At 36.3% G+C, this 23,488-nt stretch overlaps 1 annotated feature.

Annotated features, from left to right (window-relative positions):
* Positions 5,171 to 5,891: an enhancer, noted in NCBI's record as "H3K27ac hESC enhancer chr2:184862331-184863051 (GRCh37/hg19 assembly coordinates)". NCBI's record gives its function as "activates a minimal SCP1, AML or CMV promoter by ChIP-STARR-seq in primed H9 embryonic stem cells {active_cell/tissue: H9 hESC(primed)}" and the evidence as "EXISTENCE:reporter gene assay evidence [ECO:0000049][PMID:30033119]".

Below are 23,488 nucleotides of genomic sequence, written 5' to 3'. Positions count from 1 at the left end.
TGTCCTCTTCAATTTTTTTCATCAGGATTTTATAGTTTTTATTATAGAGATCTTTCACTTCTTTGATTCAATTTATTCCTAGGTGTTTTTAATAGCTATTGTAAATAGGATTGGTTTCTGAATTTCTTTTTCAAATTGTTCACTATTAGAATATAGAAATGCTACTGATTTTTATATGTTGATTTTGTATCCTGAAATTTTACCGAATTAGTTTATTATTTCTAACAGTTTTTTGGTGGAATCTTTAGGTTTTCCTAAATATAGGATCATGTTGTCTGTGAACAAGGCTGATTGGACTTCTTCCTTTCCAATTTGGATGCCCTTTCTTTCTCTTGCCTGATTGCCCTGGCCAGGACTTCTGGTATTATGTTGAATAAAACTGGTGAAAGGAGACATCCTTGCCTTGTTCCAGGTCTTAGAGGAAAGGTTTTTAGTTTTGCCCTGTTCAGTATGGGTTTGCAATATATGGCCCTTATAATTTTGGGGTATGTTCCTTCTATACACAGTTTATTGAGTTTTTATTATGAAGATATGTTGAATTTTATTGAATTCTTTTTCTGCATCTTTTTAAATGATCATGCATTTTTACTTCTTGATTCTGTAAACGTGATGTATCACATTGATATGATTTGATTTGTGTCCCCACCCAAACCTCATGTCAAATCCCCAGTGTTGGAGGTGGGGCCCGGTGGGAGGTGATTGGATCATGGAGGTGGTCCTTCATGAATGGTTTAGCACCATCTCCTTGGTGCTGATATTGTGATAGTGAGTGAGTTCTCATGAGATCTGGTTGTTTAAAAGAATGTGGCACCTCCCTCAGTCTCTCAGTCCTGCACCTGCCATGTCAGATGCCTGCTCCTGCTTTGCCCACCACCATGAGTAAAAACTTCCTGGGGCCTCCCCAGAAGCAGATGCTGCCATCCTTCCCGTACAGCCTGCAGAACTGTGAGCCAATTAAACCTCTTTTCTTGTACGTTACCCAGTCTCAGGTATTACTGTATAGCAGTTTTATCACTTCTGAACTCCCAGATTCCCCCAACCAACTACTGGGGCAAAGTGAATGCACAGTGTCCATAGGCCAGGCATATTGAGCAGAAAAAGCAATCACTCTATAGTATGAATTGAGGAAATTTAAAAAAAAAAGCACTCTATAATTACCTCAAAAATTCTTAAATTATTTGTGGATATCTGAAATTTATTTATCTTAAGAGTAATTGCAAATATCACTGAGAGAGCTAACATACTAAGTCTCATTATACTTTTACATATTTTAATACATTTGTAAAATTCTGCTTGAGAGTAAGTTTTATGTAGAAACAGCCAATGAATTAAATAGCAATATTCAAAAAGCATTAACTAGTTAGAGTAAAAAATACATAGAACAAGATTGAATAAATCAAAGAAAACTTCATCTAAATTGTAACTTTATGGAAGGAATTCCAGACCCAAACAGATGACTTTGTAGTGAAGGTATTCTGGAAAGCAAATACATTTCAACTGTTATGTCAGCCAAGGGCCTAAGGTAATTGAAATATTTGAATTGAGTTTTATCCTTCAGCCTGATATTAGATGGCAGAATTTCTAAAGCAAAATAAAGTGTACTTTAATCTTTTTAGATGCACTCACATTTCACAGTTGAGAGAACAGAATTTGTGGTGTTTTCCCAGATGCAGGACTTGGGATAACCACTTACCTTTCCATCAAAATAGTAAAGTGTACCAAAAAACAGAAGACCTGTGCTCCTGTTAGTCCTCAGGTAAATTACAAAACAACCATTCTCTATCTGGATGTTATGAAACAAATCCCAGTAATGGATGTAAAATTGTTCTTTGCTTTACAAAATACTTGACAAATATAAGAGGTTATCATTAACCATATTAAGAACATTTCTAGTTTTCTTAACAAACAAAAACAGTTTAAATGTGAAGCATCCCTGATTCTATGTTAAAGAATGGCTTGCAAAGCTATTAGTTTCTCTTGAACAAAAATATTAACTTTCTGAATTTTTATATCATCTATGACTGGTTTCCCTGGGGCCTAGAAGTGCCATTGCAGAAATACCAGGGTGGAACTGGCTGGATAACATATTTCATCCACATTGTATTTGTCTGTTCTCACATTGCTTATAAAGATGTACGAGATACTGGGTAATTTATAAAGGAAAAAGCTTTAATTGACTCACAGTTCAGCATGTCTGGGGAGGCCTCAAGAAACTTACAATCATGACAGAAGGCACCTCTTCACAGGGTGGCAGGAGAGAAAATGAGAGCTGGGTGAAGGGGAAAGCCCCATATAAAGCCGTCAGATCTTGTGAGAGCTCACTTACTATCAGGAGAACAGTTTGAGGGAAACCGCCCTCATGATTCAATTATCTCCACCTGGTCCCGTCCTTGATACACAGGTATTATTACAATTCAAGATGAGATTTTGGGTGGGGACACAGACAAACTGTGTCCGGAATTGGTGGGTTCTTGGTCTCGCTGACTTCAAGAATGAATCCACAGACCCTGGTGGTGAGTGCTACAGTTCTTAAAGATGGTGTGCCTGGATTTTCTTCCTTCTGCTGGGTTCGTGGTTTCTCTGACTTCAGGAGTGAAGCCGCAGACCTTCGCAGTGAGTGTTACAGCTCTTAAAGGCAGCGCGTCTGGAGTTGTTTGTTCCTCCCATTGGGTTCATGGTCTCGCTGGCTTCAGGAGTGAAGTTGCAGACCTTTGCGGTGAGTGTTACAGTTCATAAAGGTGGCGCGTGTGGAGTTGTTCGTCCCTCCTGGTGGGTTTGTGGTCTCGCTGGCTTCAGGAGTGAAGCTGCAGACTTTGGCGGTGAGTGTTACAACTCATAAAGGCTGCGAGGACTCAAAGAGTGAGCAGCAGCAAAATCATATCACACATTCAACCAGAAGCTTTTATAATTGAACACTTGTATCTCTAAAATTAAGTTTTTTTTTTCAGAGACATTTTCTTAATCTTCAAAAATAGTCCTTTTAAAGCATAGGGCACTATTGTGGCAATTGATACTGTAAAATAAATCTGCTTAAAGTGTTAAGTTTAGCCTACCGTTGCCTCCTTACATATTTTAAGTTGAGTCTAAAGGTTTCTCCATACATAGTGAACTATAACCTAACTGGATGTGTAATTACAGTGGCCAAGTTTGGGACAATCACAAGCATACAACTGTTCAAATCATATTCAAATAAGGCAAACACCAAACTGTAAGCCAATCCAGCTGTTACTGTACTTCATTTCCATTTTTTTGTATGTCACATTCCTTTTTCTCTGAATAAATGTTATCCAATCACATGGCTGCCCCGGAATTGCTCTGACCCTATCTATTCTGGTTCTAGGGGCTGCCTAACTTGCTAATCATTCTTTGCCTATTTAAACACAGTTAAATTTAATTTGTCTAAAGTTTCTATTTTAACAGGGGGAAAGTCTAACATTCGACCTGCCCTAGGATTTTAAATAACCTGATTAGGAGTTAACTCTCCAAAGGTAACAAATAAAACAAAATTTATGATAAAATAATTTAAAAGATACTTTCTAATGCCTCACATAAGATTATTAAACACCAGGCAAAATTAAGAAAAATACAGCCCTATAATTATACAAGATATTCATTAAAGAGGGATGTATTTAATATTAAAATAAGGTCTATAAAATCAAGGTTCATTGATCTTTGAACTTGCAAAGACCAGTTAGGAAGTCATCATTAAACAGAATTAGGCACATATAAAAATACTTTTAAGCAATAATAGCATAACCGTATTGAGTTTGATTAAATAGGATTTAAGCTTGATTCTTTTTCATCACCATCCTTTAAACCAGCACCATCAAACTATTTTTTTCTTGTGGTAAAAACTCCAATACAACCAAATACCAAGGCTTTAGTTTTTCATCTACTTCTAAGCTTTCTTGCACTCTATGCCTTAAGATCTGTAATCTTTAGTAGAAGAGAGGCCAGGATTGAGTTTGTCAATTTCTCCACTTGGGTCTTCTGTCCCTTCTCCTTGACTCATTTTGTTTACACTTGGGTTAGAGTGAAGGGAAGAAGGACAACAGGAAAGTTACTTAATATTTTTATTTCCTTTATTTTTGTCGTGTAAGAGAAATCAAATATGATATCTATGTTTGTTCACCTGAATAATTATAATTCTACCCTCTTTTATTCAAACAAACAAACAAAAAACCCAGCAAAGGAGCTGAAAAACCAAACGCAAACTTTACTTACACCTATTGTTTCTAGGGCTCTTGTGAAGGCAGTGGCCCTCAGACCACTGAATACCAAATATGTACCATGTTTTCTGGCTTTAGGTCCAGTCTCTAGTGTAGCACATTTATTTTCATGAAGATTTATAGACTAGGACTTCACAGGTAAGCTGAGGTAATTAGGAAAAAAGTCATGAATATGTGAAAGTTGATCATATGAATTGCATCATTCTTGTCACACACAACCAAAACAGTCAAGAAGCCAGCAGGAGGCGGGTGGGGGAGCACTCAGGGCACATAACATTCCTCCACAAATGTAATTTTCTGCAAGCTTGGAAGCTGAAACTGCCTTAAGGTAACCTAAAACCAGTTTTATCTAATGACCACTGAAACAATCTGCTGCAACTCTCAGACTAGTTTTGCCCAAGGTTCTGGTTGTCACTTACCAATCAAAGCTTGCCAATTTCTCAAAACCTTACTAGTGCCAATGAAATTTCTCAAAGAGTAATACATAACATTTCTCCTTTTCATAAAACCTGTAACCTTCTCTATCTTCTTCAGAGAGAATAGTTTCAGTTAAAGCCAGAGACTATCTCTCCCCAGTTTGTAAACTGATATTTCCAGTAAAACTCTCTTTTCTATTCTCTACCTATACTGGTAGTCTTTTGGACAGGAAACGGATAGAAATTTTTTTTTTTGGTCCAATGCTTATCACCAAATAATGCTTACTATATATCAGCCACTATCCTAGTTCAGTATTGTATGAACAGAAAGATCCCTGACTTCACAAAGCTCTCTCTTGAGTGTTCACAGACAATAAAAACTAAATGTAAATAGTTACATAGATTGCATAGTATGTTCAAAGTTGACAGAAGGAATGAAGAAAAGTGTGAATTAGGCCAAAGGAGATATGAAATCTGCAGGCAGTGGGGGAGAAGTTGGTTAATAGGTTGCAATTTTAAATAGGGTGGTTAAGGTAGGAGTCATTGAGAAAGTAACACCTGGGTGAAGACTTGAAGCAAGTGAGGGTGTTAGCCAGAGGAAAGAGGAAACAGTAAATGCAAAGTTCCTAATGTCAGGCTTCTGAGCCCAAGCTAAGCCATGGTATCCCCTGTGACCTGCGCGTTTATGTCCAGATGGCCCCAAGCAAGTGAAGAACCACAAAAAAAGTGAAAATGGCTGCCTGCCTTAACTGATGACATTCCACCACAAAAGAAGTAAAAATGGCCAGTCCCTGCCTTAACTGATGACATTACCTTGTGAAATTCCTTCTCCTGGCTCATCCTGGCTCAAAAGCTCCCCAAATGAGCACCTTGTGACCCCCACCCCTGCCAGCCAGAGAACAACCCCCTTTGACTGTAATTTTCCACAACCTACCCAAATCTTATAAAACGGTCCCACCCCTATCTCCCTTCACTGACTCTCTTTTCGGACTCAGCCCACCTGCACCCAGGTGAAATAAACAGCCTTATTGCTTACACAAAGCCTGTTTGGTGGTCTCTTCACAGGGACGCGAGTGAAACCTAAGATACGAGTTAATTTAAGAAAGAACAAGAAGGCCTAAGTGCTTGATGCTCAGTAATTGAGTTGAGAGGGCTAAGGAGGGAGTGAGATGGCACATAGGCAGGGTCTCCTCAGCCACTGAAAGACTCTTTTACTCTTGTGGAATAGGGGAACATTCAAAGTCCAAATAAGATAAATTGCATAATCTGGTTTACAATGTTAAAAGGCTTACTCTGGCTACTGTGTTGAGAAAATGCTGGGGGGTGGGGAGGGATAACGTATCAGTATAGACTAAATTATACTGTGGTAGCACACAACACAAATTTCAGAGATTTAAAAGGCAAAGTAAAAAAAAAAAATTGTTTCCTTACCTTCATTACATAAGCTTATCTGTGGCGTATCTGTGGCTCTGCTTCATGTTGACTTCTCTCCAGGACCCTGGCTGCTAGAACAGTTGCTATCTGGAACCTTGCCAGTCTCATAGCGAAGGGAAAAAGACAGAGTGAACCAGGTGCTGCCTCTTAAACCTTCTGCTCACAAGTGCCCTGAGTTACTTCTAATTACATTTCATTGACCAGAGGAAATCATGGGGTCAAGTCCGACATCAAAAGACAAGAGCACAATTCTCCCACAGGGAGGAGGGAAACCCTAACAAAGACATACAAAGATTTTGAATAATAATACAAAATAATAATATTGTTTCCTCTCCAAAGGGAGAGAAAGGAGCGGAGATTATTTAGGAGGTTATTACAATGGTCTGGGTGAGAGACGGTAATAACACATTCCACAGCAATCACATCTCAAACAGTAGGGTCTTGAGATTTCCAAGGGTGTTAAACAGAAAAGAGCAGAGGAGGTGGCAAAGAAGAATAGAGGCTCAAACAAGAATAAAAGAAAAGTGGCTTTATAAAGGCCAAAAATAGAAAAAAAGATTAAAGAAAGGGATGTGAATACTTACAGCCGAAATTCTCCAGAAAAGAAAAAAGGATTCCAAATAAACTTATATCCTAAAGAGGAGACTTTGATGACCTATTTATTGCTTTTTATAGATTTGTCTGACTGTATAATTTAGAAGAAACAGTTTTGTTCAAAGCATGCCATTTTTGCCTCTTTTCTTTATTTTGCTCTGTAATCTTAACTAGACAGCAGGAACTCTCTATTAAGTTTTTTATTATTCTTGATTCCACTAGATGTTGTTGAATAAGTGGGGAAAAGTGATTAAATTCAATTTATAATTCGTATTGCAATTCCTCTGAATGCTTTCCTTTGTAGACTCTTCTGGGCAGTAATGAATCCCAAAGCCTAATCTTACTATGTTCCTTCTTTTATCTACCACAATTGGTTCATTCATTTATGTTTATTCCTTATGTGTGCCAGGAAAGATACTAGATGCTAGGGATACTAACATAAAAATTACTACTTGTGTGTGTGCAAGATTTTATAGTCCAGGGATAAAGATGAATAGATTTATTGAGGTAAATGCTATTTTGGAGGAATATATCATGTGCAAAGATAACAGAAAGGATAGTCAAATGCCAAGCTTCATAAAGAAGAGATGCTTTAGATGAATCTGGATAAAGAACAGGAGATTTATTTATTTATTTAAAAAAGGGGGAGTGACAGTGAAAAAATTCCAAGTAGAAACAAAGTTTTCTTCCTATGAAATGGCATGTGATAAAGTGAAAAAATGTTTTAGTAACAGAAATAGATGAATGGGAAGTAATATGTGAAGGGGCACTGGAAGAAGATAAAACTGAACAGATATGAAGAGACCAGATCATGGATTCCTTGTGTCATGCCAATGAGTTCCAACATAAAACAGTAACCAGGGAGCCACTGAAGGTATTCAGGCAGAAAAGTAACATGATTCAATGTCTCTGGCAGCTGCTGGTTGTTTTAAGTAAATAATCAGTACTTTTTCATGTGTCACCACTGGTGAAACAGAAAAGCATCTCAGCAGCAAACAGTAAGGAGTCATTGAAATCTATAATGTCATTCAAATAAACCAGATCTAAAGGCCCATCAGCACCCTGGTACTCTGCCAATCTCAGAACTCAGGGTTTTCTCTATTGACTTCTACAGTCTCCGGCCACATGGCACACCTCTCAGATTCTCTCGCTTCATTTCACAGCTCAACAATGATGGTTTTTAAAACTTTTGGTCTCCACATCCTTTTATAATTTTGAAAGTCAGTGGGGACTCCAATGAGCTTTTCTTTATGTGGGTTATATCTGTTAATATTTATTGCCTTAGAAATTAAAACTGACAAATTTTAAAATGTTTATTAATGCTTTTAAAATATCAATAATAGTACCATTAAATAGTCACATTATTTTTATTTAAAAAAGATATCTCCTAAAACAGAAAGAAACTAAGAAGTGGTAATGTTTTATATTTTTTTCAAATTTCTTTAATTTCTGGCTTAAGAGAGGACAGATGGAGTCTCATATCTTCTTCTGCATCCAGTAAGTTGCAATATATTTTTTTGGTTGAAGTATATAATAAGACTCTCTCCTCATGTAGTTATATAGTTAGAAAAGAGAGAAATCTTTTCAGATTATTTTACTGAAAATAATTTATTATTATTCCTTTCTGATAATATGCCCAAACTCAACAAATGGTAGTTTCTTAAACTTAGTTGCAATGTGGAATCTAAATATCATTGTAGTTTTTATATTCCATTATATGAAAATCTCTTGATCTCTCTTTCATTTTAATGGAATTTAGCCCTTGCTAGATTGTGTTACTTCATGCATTGGTCATTTGTAAAACATTAGCTCACTGAGTTATGCAGATCTTCCAAACTTTGACATATATATCATACAATATAAAAACCACCACATTTGTTAATATTAGTAATGATCTAATCAGATAGCTAAGTGTTCTGCACTGTAAGCTTTCAAGCTTACAGTGGTGAATGCAAATTTTCTAAAATTTCTATTTTTTCCCTGAAAATTCAAATTTTATGATTAACAAAGAAAATTGATGACAAATACCCAAATTGTAATAACTGTAATTTGTCTGTTACTTTTCAAATGAAAATGGTGTTCCATGAAGAAAAGCAGCTCGTTCAGCTCATAATCCAAGCAATCTTAGTGGTTTTTTTTTTTGAGATAAGCATTATACTTTGGTATGCAGTAGCAGTGCTTCATGCATACTTTCTATTTCATCTTATAGACTTTTGAAATCATTTTCTATCAGATGGTCTTTTTCTTTCTTTTCAATCACTTGTAGGAGTAATTTGCATTTTCTTCACTGGATATAAAACTTTCTTCATTGGGTATATGTACTGCAAATAATTCCATTTATTCTCTGGCCTGCATTTTTGCTCAGTAAATGACATTTTTCGGTAAGTATAGGTTTTTCATTTTCACATAGTTTAATTTGTAATTTTTTTCCTTCATGATTAGTAGTTTTCTGTCCCATTTAGGAAAAATTTTTAACCCAAAATAATGAAGATACTTTTCTACTTTACTCCCCAATATATTTTGTAGTTTTCGGTTTAGAGGTCTTGTACATGTTTAATTAGATTTATTCTTAGGTAATTTATATATTTTGATTTTTTGGCAAAATCAAAATACCTTATTTTCTCAAGTTCCAAATTTATTGCTGGTGTATAAACATATAACATATTGTAATACATAATGGAGCCCAGCAACTTGATACATTAACTTAACAATTTCAATAGTTTTGCTGTAGAGTCTTGAAATTTTTACATATAAAATCACATTACTTGCAGATAATGATGCTTTCATTATTTCATTATTCATTCCTTGGTTACCTGGCAGTGTGGCTGTGCAAACATTTTAGTCTCAGACCAGAGATTAGAGTATCTGCTTTGGAGTGGGGTAGGGACTTCCACAGCCAGAAAGTGCCTCAGCAGTATGGCTAAAATTGTGCCCTCCCTGTAGCAGGCCTAGGGCAGGAAGAGAACTCCTACGGCTGTGGTTTCTCCTGGGTAACAAGACTTGCACCAAGGCCCAGTTTGGTGACATGGAACTCATCTGTGTGTGACTTTGCTGAGTAGCCCATGCTGCTCCTTGGAAATCATGGTGCAGTAGAGGCTCCCCTCTGCTCTACCCCCAGAGAGAAATCCAGGAATTTGGACCATGTTCTTGCCTGGACCAGCAGCCTGAGCTACCCAACCCTTCCTGGACATAGATTGTGCAGTGGGGCTCTATGCTCCATGCCCAGGCAGATATCAAGGCATCCATAACACCTGTTACCCTGGTTCAGCAGCTTGAGCCACACTACCATTCCTGGACATAAATTGTGGTGTGGGGGGCCCTCTCTATTCCATTCCCAGGCAGATCCTATACATTTGGAGTACTACCTTGACTGAATCAGCATGCTGAGCTGTCCCACCCTTCCTGTGCAGAGATCCAGCCACAGGGGAATCCTTTCTACTACACAACCAGGCAGATTTCCAGGCATTCAGAGCACCTGCTTGTTTAGTCCAGCAGCCTGAGTTGCTTGGTGCTGGGGGATCATTTCTGCTCCACGCTCAGGCAGAAATCCAGTCATTCAGAGAACTGCTCATCTGGATCAGCAATCTGACCTGCCCCACCCTTCTGTGCAGAGTTTCTGATGCAAAGAGGCCCTCATTGCTCCATGCCCAGGCTGATCTCCAGACTTGTGAAGCACCTGTTTGCCTGATTCAGCAGCCTGAGCTGCCCCACTTTTCCCAAATGTAGATTATGGTGTAGTGAGGCCTTCTCCACTCCAAACCAAGGCATATTTCGAGACATTTGGAGCACAAGATCACCTGAATCAGCAGTCTGAGTTGCCCAGCCCCTCCTGTGCAGAAATATTGGTGCAGCAGGACCCACTCTGCTACATGCCCAGGCAGATCTCCAGACATCTGGAGCACCCACTCTACTAGATTAGAAATCTAGGCCATCCCTTACTCCTGTGCAGAGAACTTGGAGCTGAAGTAGGTGGCTTCCTACCTCCACACCTAGGTACACCTTTGGGTGCTTGGTGGCTACTCACTGGATTCTCCCCTTGTTGCTGGTGCCTCTGCCTGGCATGGGGGACCCATAGGTCAACCTGTCTGTTTTGGTCCCACCCTTCAGTCTCTTGCTCCTAGGGCACAACAGGGAGCTCAAACTACTGTATACTCCACAAATCATCCCAATGCCTGAGGCAACAGAGAGCTGCCAGTAAATAAGGATTATGTATATACCCAGCCACGTTGGCCACAGTCTGTTCTTACCAATAAGCACCATCCATGGGCTTACATGTCAAACTCCACAGCCTAATATAAAATCTGCTGAAAGAAATGCATAGCGCTATAGAAACAAAGCCAAGAGACCCTACCAGCATGCCTTACAACTCCTAGAAATAGAGAGGAAAGGAAAGAGAAAGAAGAAAATAATAATAACATTGTAGGGAAAGGAAGAAAAAGAAAAAATCCTACCCACATAAAAATAATTACAAAACTTAGAGGTGCCAGGATCTCCAGATGAGAAGAAACCAGTGCAAGAATTCTGGCCAAATGAAAGATCTGAATGCAGTGACACCAAGAAAGGATTGTACTAGCTCTTCAGCAATGCACCCTAACTGAAATGGAAACTCAGAAATGACAAATAATTCAAGCCATGGATTGCAAGGAAGCTGAATGAGATCCAAGACAAGGTTGATAATCAAACAAAGACACTCCTAAAGCAATCCAGGAAATGAAGGAAGAGATAAACATCTTAAAAAGAAATGAATCAGAATTTCTAGGCTTAAAAAACTCACTTAAGGAATTTCAAAATACAATTTAGGCTGGGTGCTGTGGCTCACTCCTGTAATCCCAGCACTTTGGGAGGCCAAGGCAGGTGGATCATCTGAGGTCAGGAGTTCGAGACCAACCTGGACAACATGATGAAACCCTGTCTCTACTAAAAATACTAAAAATTAGCCAGGCGTAGTGGTGCATTCCTGTAATCTCAGCTACTCAGGAGTCTGAGGCAGGAGCATCTCTTGAACCTGGGAGGTGGAGGTTGCAGTGAGCCAAGATCTTGCCCCTGTACTTCATCCTAGGCAACAGAGTAAAATGCCATCTCAAAAACAAACAAACAAAAAATTAAAAGCTTCATCAATAGAATGGACCAAGCAGAAGAAAGACACTCAGAGCTTGAAGATTGGTCTTTTGAACTGATAGACTCAGAGAAAAATAAAAAGAATTTAAAAAAATAAAAAAGTCTTTGAGAAATATAAAAGTATGTAAAGCTACCAAACCTACAAATTATTGGCATATCTGAGAGAAATAGAAGTGTAAACAACCTGGAAAATATATTTCAAGGAATAATTTAAGAAATCTTCTTTAATCTTGCTAAAAATAGACATCCAGAGACAAGAAATCCAGGGAATACCCGTGAGATACTATACATAATGAAGATCAACAGGCATATAGTCACCAGTCTATTTAAGGTTAATGCTAAAGAAAAAAATCTTAATGGTAGTTAGAGAAAAAGAGTAGATCATATACAAAGGGAAACCCATCAGGCTAAGAACAGACTTCTCAGCAGAAACCTTATAAGCCAGGAGAGGTCGTGGTCCTGTTTTCAGCATTCTTAAAGAAAAGAAATTCCAGCCAAGAATTTCATATCCCACCAAACTAAGCTTCACAAGCAAAGGAGAAATAACAGCTTTTCCAGACAAGCAAGCACTAAGAGAATTCCTAACCCATAGACAAGCCATATAGGAGATCCTTGGGGGAATCTTAATGAATACAAAAAAAAAAAAAGAAATCATACCAACAATACTCGACCATAGTGGAATAAAAATAGAAATCAATACCAAGAATATCTCTCAAAACTACAGAGTTCATGGAAATTAACAATTTGCTACTGAATGACTTTTAAATAACAAAATCAAGATAATTATTTGAAATAAATGAAAACAGAGAAACAATATACCAAAATCTCCAGGATGTAGCGTTAAAAAAAAGTGTTAAGAGGAGTGTTTATAATGCTAAACACCAACCTCAAAAAGTTAGAAAGATCTCAAATTAACAATCAAATATTACACCAGAGGAACTAGAAAAACAAAAATGAAACAAGCCCAAAGCTAGCTGAAGTAAAGAAATAACTAAAATCAGTGCAGAACTGAAAGAAGTTGAAAACGAAAAATACATAGAAAGAATCAATAAAACCAAAAGTAGGTATTTGAAAAGATAAACAAAATTTATAGACTGCTAGATAGATGAACAAAGAGACAAGATCCAAATAAGCAAAATCAGAAATGACAAAGGTGACAGTACAGTTGATCCCACAAAAATACAAATGATACTCAGAGACTTTTATGAATACCTCTGCACAATCTGGAAAATCTAGAGGAAATGGATACATTCCTGAAAGCATACAACCCCCCAAGACTGAGTCAGGAAGAAATTTAAACACTGCACAGACAAATATCAAGTTCTGAGATGGAATCAGTAATAAAAAATCTACCGACAGAAAAAAACTTTTGACCAAATGGATTCACAGCCAAATTCTACCAGATGTACAAAGAAGAGCTGGTACTAGAATTATTCCAAAAATTTGAGGAGGAATGACTTATCCCTAATTCATTCTATTTGCCTGATACCAAAGCCTTGTAAACACACAATAACAACAAAAAAACTACTGGCTAATATCTATGATGAGCATAGATGCCAAAATCATCAACAAAATGCTAGCAAACCAAATTCAACAGTACATCAAAAATTAATTCACTTTGCTCAAATAGTCTTCATTTCTAGGATGCAAGTTTGGCTCAACATATGTAAATCAATGTGATTCACCACATAAAGAGAATTAAAAACAACAACCTCTCAACAGATGCAGAAAAATCTTTTGATAAAATCCAAGACTGCTTCATGATAAAAACCCTCAAGAAACTAGACATTGAAGGTACACACTTCAAAATAGTAACAGCCGTCTATAACAAACCCATGGCCAACATCATACCAAACAGGCAAAAGTTGGAAGTATTCCCCTTGAGAACGGGAACAAGACAAGGATACCTACTCTCACCACTCCTATTCAGCATAGTACTGCCAGTCGCCACCAGAGAAATCAGGAAAGATAAATAAAAAGCACACAAATTGAAAAAGAAGTCACGCTATCTCTCTTCATTTATGATATGATTCTACAACTAGGGAACCCTAAAGACTCCAACAAAAGGCTCCTAGAGTTGATGACTTCAGTAAAACTTCAGGATAAAAAAATTAATGTACAAAAATTAATGTACAAAAATTAGTAGCATTAATATACACAAATACTATCCAAGCTGAGAGCCAAATCAAGAACATAATCCCATTTACAATAGCCACAAAAAGAATAAAATACCTGGGAATACAGCTAACCAAGAAGGTAAAATATCTCCACAAGGAGAATTACAAAATACTGCCAAAAGAAATCAGAGATGACACAAATAAACAGAATAATACTCCATGCTCATGAATTGAAAGAATCAGTATCATTAAAATGACCACACTGCTCAAAGCAATTTACAGATTCAATGCTATTTCTATCAAATTACCAATGACATTTTTCAAGGAATTAGAAAAAAACTGTTCTGACATTCATATGGAACCAAAAAAATAGCCCAATAGCCAAATCAATCCTAAGCAAAAAAACAAAACAAAACAAAACAAAACAAAAAGCTGTAGGCATCACAGTACCCATCTTCAAACTATACTACCAGGCTACAGTAACTAAAATGTCATGGTACTAGTTCAAAAACAGACACAGAGACCAATGAAATAGTATAGAGAACCCAGAAATAAAGTAGCATACCTGCAACCATCTGATCTTTGGCAAAGTTGACAAAAATAAGCAATGGGAAGAAGACTTCCTATTCAATAAATGGTTCTGGCTAGTGGGCTATGCATATACAGAATAATGAAACTAGACTTCTACCCATCACCATGTACCAAAATTAACTCAAGATGGATTAAAGACATAAATGTAATGCCTCAAACTATAAAACTTCTGTGAGAAAACCAAGAAATATCCTTCTCAATATCAGCATTGGCAAATAATTTATGGCTAAGTCCTCAGAGCAATTGAGCAAAAATAAGAATTGTTGAATGAGACCTGATTAAACTAAAGAACACAGCAAAAAGAAAGAAAAAAAAAAAAACTATCCACCGAGTAAGCAAAAAACCTACATAACAGCAGAAAATATTTACAAACTGTATCTGACAAAGGTCTAATGTCCAGAACATGTAAGGAGCTTAAACAAATCAATAAGCAAAAAAAAAAAAAAAAAAAAAAAAAATACGCTATTAAAAAGAGAGCAAAAGACATGAAAAGACACTGCTCAAAAGAAGATATATAAATGGCCAACAAACTTGAAAAAAGTGCTCAACATCACTAATCATCAGAGAAATTCAAATCAAAACCACAATGAGATACCATGTCATGCCAGACAGAATGGCTATTACTAAAATGTCAAAAAAACAACAAATGTTGGCAAGGCTGTGGAAAAAAAGGAAACATCCTCTTTTGGTAGAAATGTAAATTAGTTCAGCCACTGCAGAAAACAATTTTGCAATTTCTCAAATAATTTAGAACCACCATTTGACCCAGCAATCTCACTACTGGGTATACACCCAAAGGAATACAAAATCATTCTACCAAAAATGCGTATGCACCTATATTTATCACGCCCTCTTCACAGTAGCAAAAACATGGAATCAACTCAGGTAATTACCAACAAATGTTTGGACAAAGAAAATGTGATAAACAAACACTGTGGAGTACTACACAGCCATAAAAAAGAATAAAATAATGTCCTTTATAGCAATAGGGATGTACCTGGCAGCCTTTATCCTAAGCTAACTAAATTTGAAACAAAAAACCAAGTACCACATGTTGTCACTTGTAAGTTGGGGCTTAATATTAGGTACACGTGGTCATAAAAATGGGAATAATAGACATTGTGGAATATAAGAGAGGGAAGGAGGGAGAGAGGTAGGATTGAAAGAAACTACCTACTGGGTACTATGCTCACTACTTTTTTACAGATTCATTTGTACTCCAAACCTAAGCATCACACAATATGCCTAGGTAACAAACCTGCACATGTACCTCCTGACTCTAAGATAAAAGTTGAAAAAAATTCTTTATACATTGGAATTCTATTTTTGCACATAATATAGGGAGGGTATGAATGTTGATGTGATCACTTCACAATTTAGAAGTATAAAACTTAGAAGTTATATAAAGAGGACTTTTAAAAAAATAAGATGGTAGGATAAAAATATTAAAAATTTTTGTATTTTCTCATTTTGCTGGGCAATTTAATTTTTTCTTAAATTTACCCAGCAGCCTTTCCCAAGACTGAAGATTGACTCTGTAAAAATATACAGGGTTTATGCATAGCAAATACATGTGTGTATACTTACTAAATGGTTACTTTTATGTGTCTACTTGACTGGGCCATGGGATACCCAGATAGCTGACTAAACATTATTTCTGGGTGTGTCTGTAAGAGTATTTCCAGAAAAGATTTGCATTTGAATTGGTGAACTGGGAAAAGAAGATGGCCCTTCTCAGTGTATGTGGATATAATCCAATTTGTTGAAGGTCTAACTAGAATATAAGGGTAGAGTAAGGTTAAATTTGTTCTGTGTCTAATTGCTTGAGCTGGGACATTGATCTCCTGCCCTCAGTGCTCCTGGTTCTCAGGTCTTTAGACCTGGACTTGAATCTACCATTGACTCTTTGGCTCTCAGGCCTTTGAAGTATACCACCAGCTTTCCTTGGTCTACAGCTTGCAAATGACAGATTGTGGGAATAGATTGGGGACTTCTCAGCCTCTATAATCACATGAGCTAATACCTTACCTTATTTTATATATATGTGAAATTATATATATAGCCAATTATATGCATATAATTGGTTATCTCTAGAGAACTCAAAATAACACAATGTTCTACCTACATTTTATTTAGATATTAAACCTCATATTCTTCTGGGGAGATTTTGGAGAAATGGTGGGGACACAAGAAAGGTTGGTAGACATCAAGACTTCATTGTCGATGGTCTCTTCTCTCTCAGTCATTTAAAATCTATAATCATAAACCCAAGTATCATAAAATACTAAAGCTCTAGTTTAATAAACTTGAGGAAATGTGTGTAACCTTAAATGACAATAAAAAGTATTATGCACACATTTACTAGATGCTGATAAAACATTTTTAAAACACAGCAGGAAAACATAAAGTAAAAAAAATTAGCTAATGTAGAACAGGCTCACTGAGGCAAAGAGTTATGCTTAGTCTATTCAATTAATGAGGGTTTTATCGGGGTTAAAAGGATTAAAAAGAGAAAAATTAATGATTTCCCATATCCAAATAAAACATAGGCATTTTCATTCATATAATGGTTTTAAGACATGGGAAAAAATGCTATCTCAATTTACATATGCTGAAAAGAGAAAAACTCAGTATCTGGTTAGGTAATCAATAATTAGACTCCAAGGATAAAAATAAATCAAAACCATATTAGTCTTCTATGGCTGCATAACAAATTACCACAGACTTAATGGCTGAAAACAACATACATTTATTATCTCAGTTTCTGTGAGTCGGGAGACCAGGCATGGCTTAATTGGGTCACTTGCTAAAGGGTCACAGGCTGAAAGTGATCACCAGGGCTGAGGTCTCATCAGAGCTTGACTGAGGAAGAATCTGTTTTCAAACTTCCTAAGATTATTGACAGAATTCCTTTTCTTGAAACTGTAGGATTCATAAAAACAAAACAAAACAAAACAAAAAACTTTCTTCTTCAAAGCAAGCAACAGAAAGAAATTCTAGCAATATAGGAAATACAATCTTATGTAATCACCTAAACATGATCAATACATACCATTGATTAGAATCATAGGGAAGATGATACACAAAGGCATGAATTCGAGGAGACAGAGTTCATGGGGTCACTTTCAAGTGTGATAACCACAAAAAACAAAATCATAGGACAGTATTTGAAATTCTCTTGGTTATGATTTGCCATGCTAAATATTTTTGTCTATATTTTTTCTAAAACCAAAGATAAATTGATATGATGACTTAAAATACTTTATCCAAATAAAGCCCTAATGCAAATTTATAATTCATCTAACAAGACAGTCAATCAAACAAAATCAGCTATCTGACATTATGGAGAAAAGCATGGGATCAGGAGTCAAATTTAGATTTTAGCTCAGCCACTTATTAGATGTTTGCTCACAGATATGTTCATGAGCCTCTATGGGTTTCAATTTCTTTGTCTATAATATGGAATGCACTTAGACTTACCTTACAAGGTTCTTATGTCAATTTGAGAAAATATTTGTAAACCACATTAAATAGGTTTGGTACAAAGAAGTTGTTCAACAAAACACAAAAGTAACTAGTAAAATCACAGCATTAAAATCCCACTGTGTATGTAGTACACTGTGACATCAGGTTTTTTTTCTGAGATGAAGTACTATCCCCTCTTTGTATGGAAAATATAATTATAATGGGAAATGAGGCAGCAAACTGACTCAGCATGTACCAAAACAAGCAAGTAAAATGTGTGTATACCAACATGTATGCTATACTCATTCAAGCACTCTATATACATTAAATGTGAAGTTGTTCCTTTGTGTCTCATCTTCCTCCAACAGATACCAAGTGTTATTAGGTGTGGCTTTCTAAGAGTAGTATTGGCTGTGCCATTTAATATACAGATTCTGAGACAGCAATCTCAAGAGGTGGGTCAGAAATTCTGCATTTTACATAATGCTTCCTTATTTAGAGGAGTAAATTTTTATCTACAATAAAAGTTTAAAGACTACTGGCTTACTGTTACACAATAAGAGTAACAATAGATAATTACCTGCAAGACCTGGAGAGTTAGGACATCAACATAAATATTTAAGTTCCTTTGCACTGGCTCACTTCTGTCTTTTGAATTCTAGGGACATTAGTTTGTAGACATGTGAGAGAATACTAGAAAATATAACTTAAGTAGTGTTAAAGTAATTAGAGTTGGAAAATAACTTATGATCATTTAGAAAGAATGGCTCTGTTCCATTGTGCTTCAAAGAGAGCAAGGGTTTAGAAACCATCTAAAGAATGAAGGACTATCAGTAAAGGTCAAGAAGAGAGGAAAGATGGGGTTGTAGACTAAGGTTAGGAAGCCTGAAATTGATTTGTATTTAGAAAAGTAATGAACAATGAGCTACAGATGGTAGAATGGGTCTAGTTGATAAATAATGTTCTTGATCAGGAAAGAGGTGTATTTTTCAAATAGCTTTATTCCTAATAACTTGAAAGACCACTTAGGCCTAGCCAGGTATTCATACACAATCCAATCCTAACAAAATTGTTTAATGGGTAAGAAAGTATATGTATAGACAAGGTTAAAGGCAAACCTGAAAGGAATCAGAGTTTTTATTAGGTAGAACCATTTCGGGAATCAGTTTATTGTTCTGAAGAGAGGAAATAAAGTTCCAGAGAAAGTTGTTACAGAAATCTTGGACAACGATATATAATAAAGATAATAGGATGACCAACAACAAAGATCTGCAAGGTCACTGGTATATTTGTGGTAACAGATAGCAAGGGCTAGGATAAAACTTGTGGCTGCTGAGACAGAAGGAAATGGCTAGATAGAGGTGATATAGTGAAGGCAATAGCTACATCAATTTAGTTATTTATAAAAGTCAGAAAATCCTGTTTTTTGGATTGTGAGGTCTGAAAATGGAACTGAAAATCAATAGAATGATACCATAATACAGCATTTGAAAATGTTAAGGCTCACAGAGGAATTAGCACAGAGTTAGCATGTTAGGGGAGTGAAAGCTTTGATAATTAATTCAACTTGTAAAATATTCTTTATTTTTATAATATTTAAGCAACAGATACAAGTTAGTAGGGAAGCTTGGAAACTGTAACCAAGCAAGCACAGCATTTATCCCCCTAGCCAAAGTGACACAGACATTTGAATCACTATTCTATTAGTTCATTTGTATTTTCTTTCTTTTTTTTTTTTTTTTTTTTTTTTTTTTGAGATGGAGTTTTGCTCTTGTTGCCCAGGCTGGAGTGCAATGGTGCGATCTTGGCTCACCACAACCTCCACCTCCTGGGTTCAAGTGATTCTCCTACCTCAGCTTCCCGAGTAGCTGGGATTACAGGCATGCACCACCATGCCCTGCTAAATTTTTTATACTTTTAGTAGAGACAGGGTTTCTCCATGTTGGTCAGGCTGGTCTCCAACTCCCAACCTTAGGTGATCCACCTGCCTCGGGCTCCCAAAGTGCTGGGATTACAGGCGTGAACCACCGTGCCAGGCCTCATTTTTATTTTCAAACCTTCCTGAAATACATTTTTTCTCTGTTTATAAAATAAAGTGTAATTCTGGCCAAGCAGAGTCTGAGATTGAGTTCTGTAGATTGTTTTAGTCTGCTAATATCACTTTTGCAAAAGTAAGATTTTTTGAAGATCAGGAAGGAAATAGTTTTACTATGCTGGTTACCAGGAAATCTTCCAGATAACAACAGTATGACCAAATACCTGTAACATGATTCCTTTTCAGTGCATATAGTCTTTTTATTACACTAAATCAACCATTTGTAGTCTTGAGTAAATGCAATAATAATAGTACCCAATTATCCACCTCTAAGATTACCATGACCTGGAATTAGCTGACCCACCAGCATTACACAGAAATTATCAAGGTGGCAATTACTAAAATCAGTTTGATTCCTGATTAGTTACTTGATAATACTTCATTATGAAACAAAGAAAAAATGAATGTAAGACTCAGACCACTTTTTGACAACTGCTAATGAATTTATTGTTCTCTCTATAGATATTTGGATACAGGATTTTGGTTACCCCCTGTGAACATCAGCAGTAATATATTCTTATTTCTTGCTCAACTTTCTTCATGACAAGAAATGACCTTGCATGGAAATTATTTCTTATTATACTTGATTTTAAGGGTACGTAATTACAGACTGCATGCTGACTTCCATAGAATCACATGGGGTAAAATGTCAGAACAACCATACAATTTCTAAATGTTTTTCTTCCTTAAAAATTCCTTTTGATTTTGTGCTTCTTATTAATTTTACTATGATGATGTATACATTGTAAAAACTTGTAAACACCTTAGGATGTTCAGTTAACAGAAAGTACTGTATTCTAGTTTTATTATATCCATTGGCAATTTCACTCAAATGCTGAAAAACACTCAAATTAGAATGATCATTCAGCAAATATATGACTATCCAACTGTTTGGGTTCTAATGTAAGTCTCATTAAATTGCTAAATATATTAGGAGCATCCCCAAAATATCCCAAATTGCTATGTTAATTCTAAAAGTGTTCAAAACTTCAAAAATAATTATCTATTAATAAGAACAATATTGCAAATATGTCACTTATATAATAGCAATGGCTTCCTTTTTTTCCAAGTCCCTAAGCATCCAAGAGACTTTGAGATAAAACTATATAGCTACCATCTTCTAGAACTAGGCCTGCTAATTAATATAGCCTGAGAAATCAAAAACATAAATCAATTTTTATTTTAATCAAGCAAGTAAAGTTAATGAAAAATAAATGTCCCTGAGAAGATCACAATAGGCTCTCTTGTGTAAACACTCCTAACAGGATCAAACTGAGAGCAGAATCAGCCCCTAAAGTGTGTCAACCTAAATAAGATCATTCTGGGAAAATCACTGGGCATTTCAGAGATGGAGAAGAGTCAGATAAACACCACTGTAGGGATCTGCACAAGCATAAGAGATTGTAAAGGGAGACATTGCTGAGAAACATGCTCTAATACTGTCTACTTGATTAAACCTTTTAGCACTTTCATTGTGCCTTGAGGCTTAAATATAATTGTGTGCCATCACTGATGCATTACAGTAGTATTTGATACTTGGAATGTTGTTCAAAAAGAATGCAACTGATAAGAATCATTTTTAGACTTTTGCATTCTCTTATGAAAAGCTTTCTAATCAGAGAGTCATTTTATAGCTAGATTTCATAGATGCAAATGAAACTCTTCTAATGGGGTATTATAATGATAAATGTGTATGCATACATATATATGTAACAGCTGCTCACTTTGGTTTGTTTTATTAGTATCTATTTTATTCTGCATTATCACTATAGAATCTTTGTCCTTTTTGAGTTTGCACTGCTCCTTTTAACTTCGCTGACAGTCATTTTCTCTCCTGGGAGCCATCAATGTTTACCATACCTGGCTACATCTTGTGTCTTCCACTGATAAACAACAACTTAAACACCAATGTCAAGCAATGTCACTCAACACATCTGTCTTGTTAATGCAAATTGTGAGGTAAAGTGAACCCTCCCCTCTGATTACTTGTTGCATAAGTACAGCAGAAGTAAACTGAGAGGAACATATCATGAGCATACAAATTATGGGTCCGTACCACAACATCAAGGAACACAGAACATCTTTTGTAAAGTGTCCCAGGTGAAAATAGTATGAAGACTTGATTTCAAAATGAAATATTATATTTCTTATAATCTACAGATACTAAGATTGACAAGAGAATGTATTTTCATGTATAAAATCACTTTTCTTCTCAAGTATTTATTTAACTTTTGTAAAGTCTGATATTCTCACCTGGTTTGGTTTTTGGATTGTAAAAATTCAACTCAACGTCAGTAAATGTGAATCTGAGGTATTGTTTTTACACATGGATAAATCCCTTTTAAGTTCAAGGGTGAAAAATGCGATGAAACTGAAAACATACACCAATTTTTCATAGCTTTCTCTAGCATTCACCATTATTCTTTACCTCTTTCAAATTTAATTCCCTGTACAAGGGAATATAGTTGATAGAGCTTTGTGGCACAATGTACTTGAAATAATTCATTTATCTGTACCTAAGTGATTTTCTGTTTAACAGGTGTTTTGTTTAGGAATTTACATTCAGCACTCAGGTGGGGATGTTTAAGGTATGTATATACCAAGAAAAGTCATTCTGAAATTTGGGCCTGGAGTTCAAGCCGACGATTAGAATCATTTCCCAGTTGAAAAAAAAAAAATGGGCCTGGCACGGTGGCTCACGCCTGTAATCCCAGCACTTTGGGAGGCTGAGGCGGGCAGATCATGAGATCAGGAGATGGAGACCATCCTGGCTAACATGGTGAAACCCCGTCTGTACTAAAAATACAAAAAATTAGCCTAGCGCAGTGGTGGGCACCTGCAGTCCCAGCTACTCGGGAGGCTGAGGCAGGAAAATGGTGTGAACCCAGGAGGCGGAGCTTGCAGTGAGCCAAGATCCTGCCACTGCACTCCAGCCTGGGTGACAGAGTGAGACTCTGTCTCAAAAAAACAGGACTCTTCCCTTTGATTGTCACTGTTTTGATATACTTGCTGATTTCTTTTTCTGGTCTTCTTAAAAGTTTTCAAACATTTTATGTGATTAAAAGCCAATGATATCATTTACTAAATAATGAATTATCATCATAAAATAGGGAATCCTTTCCCCATTTCTTGTTTTTGTCAGGTTTGTCAAAGATCAGATAGTTGTAGACATGTGGCATTATTTCTGAGGGCTCTGTTCTGTTCCATTGGTCTATATCTCTGTTTTGGTACCAGTACCATGCTGTTTTGGTTACTGTGGCCTTGTAGTATAGTTTGAAGTGAGGTAGCATGATGCCTCCAGCTTTGTTCTTTTGGCTTAGGATTGACTTCGCGATGCAGGCTCTTTTTTGGTTCCATATGAACTTTAAGGTAGTTTTTTCCAGTTCTGTGAAGAAAGTCATTGGTAGCTTGATGGGGATGGCATTGAAT

This window comes from Homo sapiens, chromosome 2 (genome assembly GCF_000001405.40).
Source record: "Homo sapiens chromosome 2, GRCh38.p14 Primary Assembly".
In the NCBI taxonomy this organism is placed as follows: Eukaryota; Metazoa; Chordata; class Mammalia; order Primates; family Hominidae; genus Homo; species Homo sapiens.
Note: the sequence above shows the minus strand (reverse complement) of the source record. Positions and strands in the feature narration are given on the sequence as shown.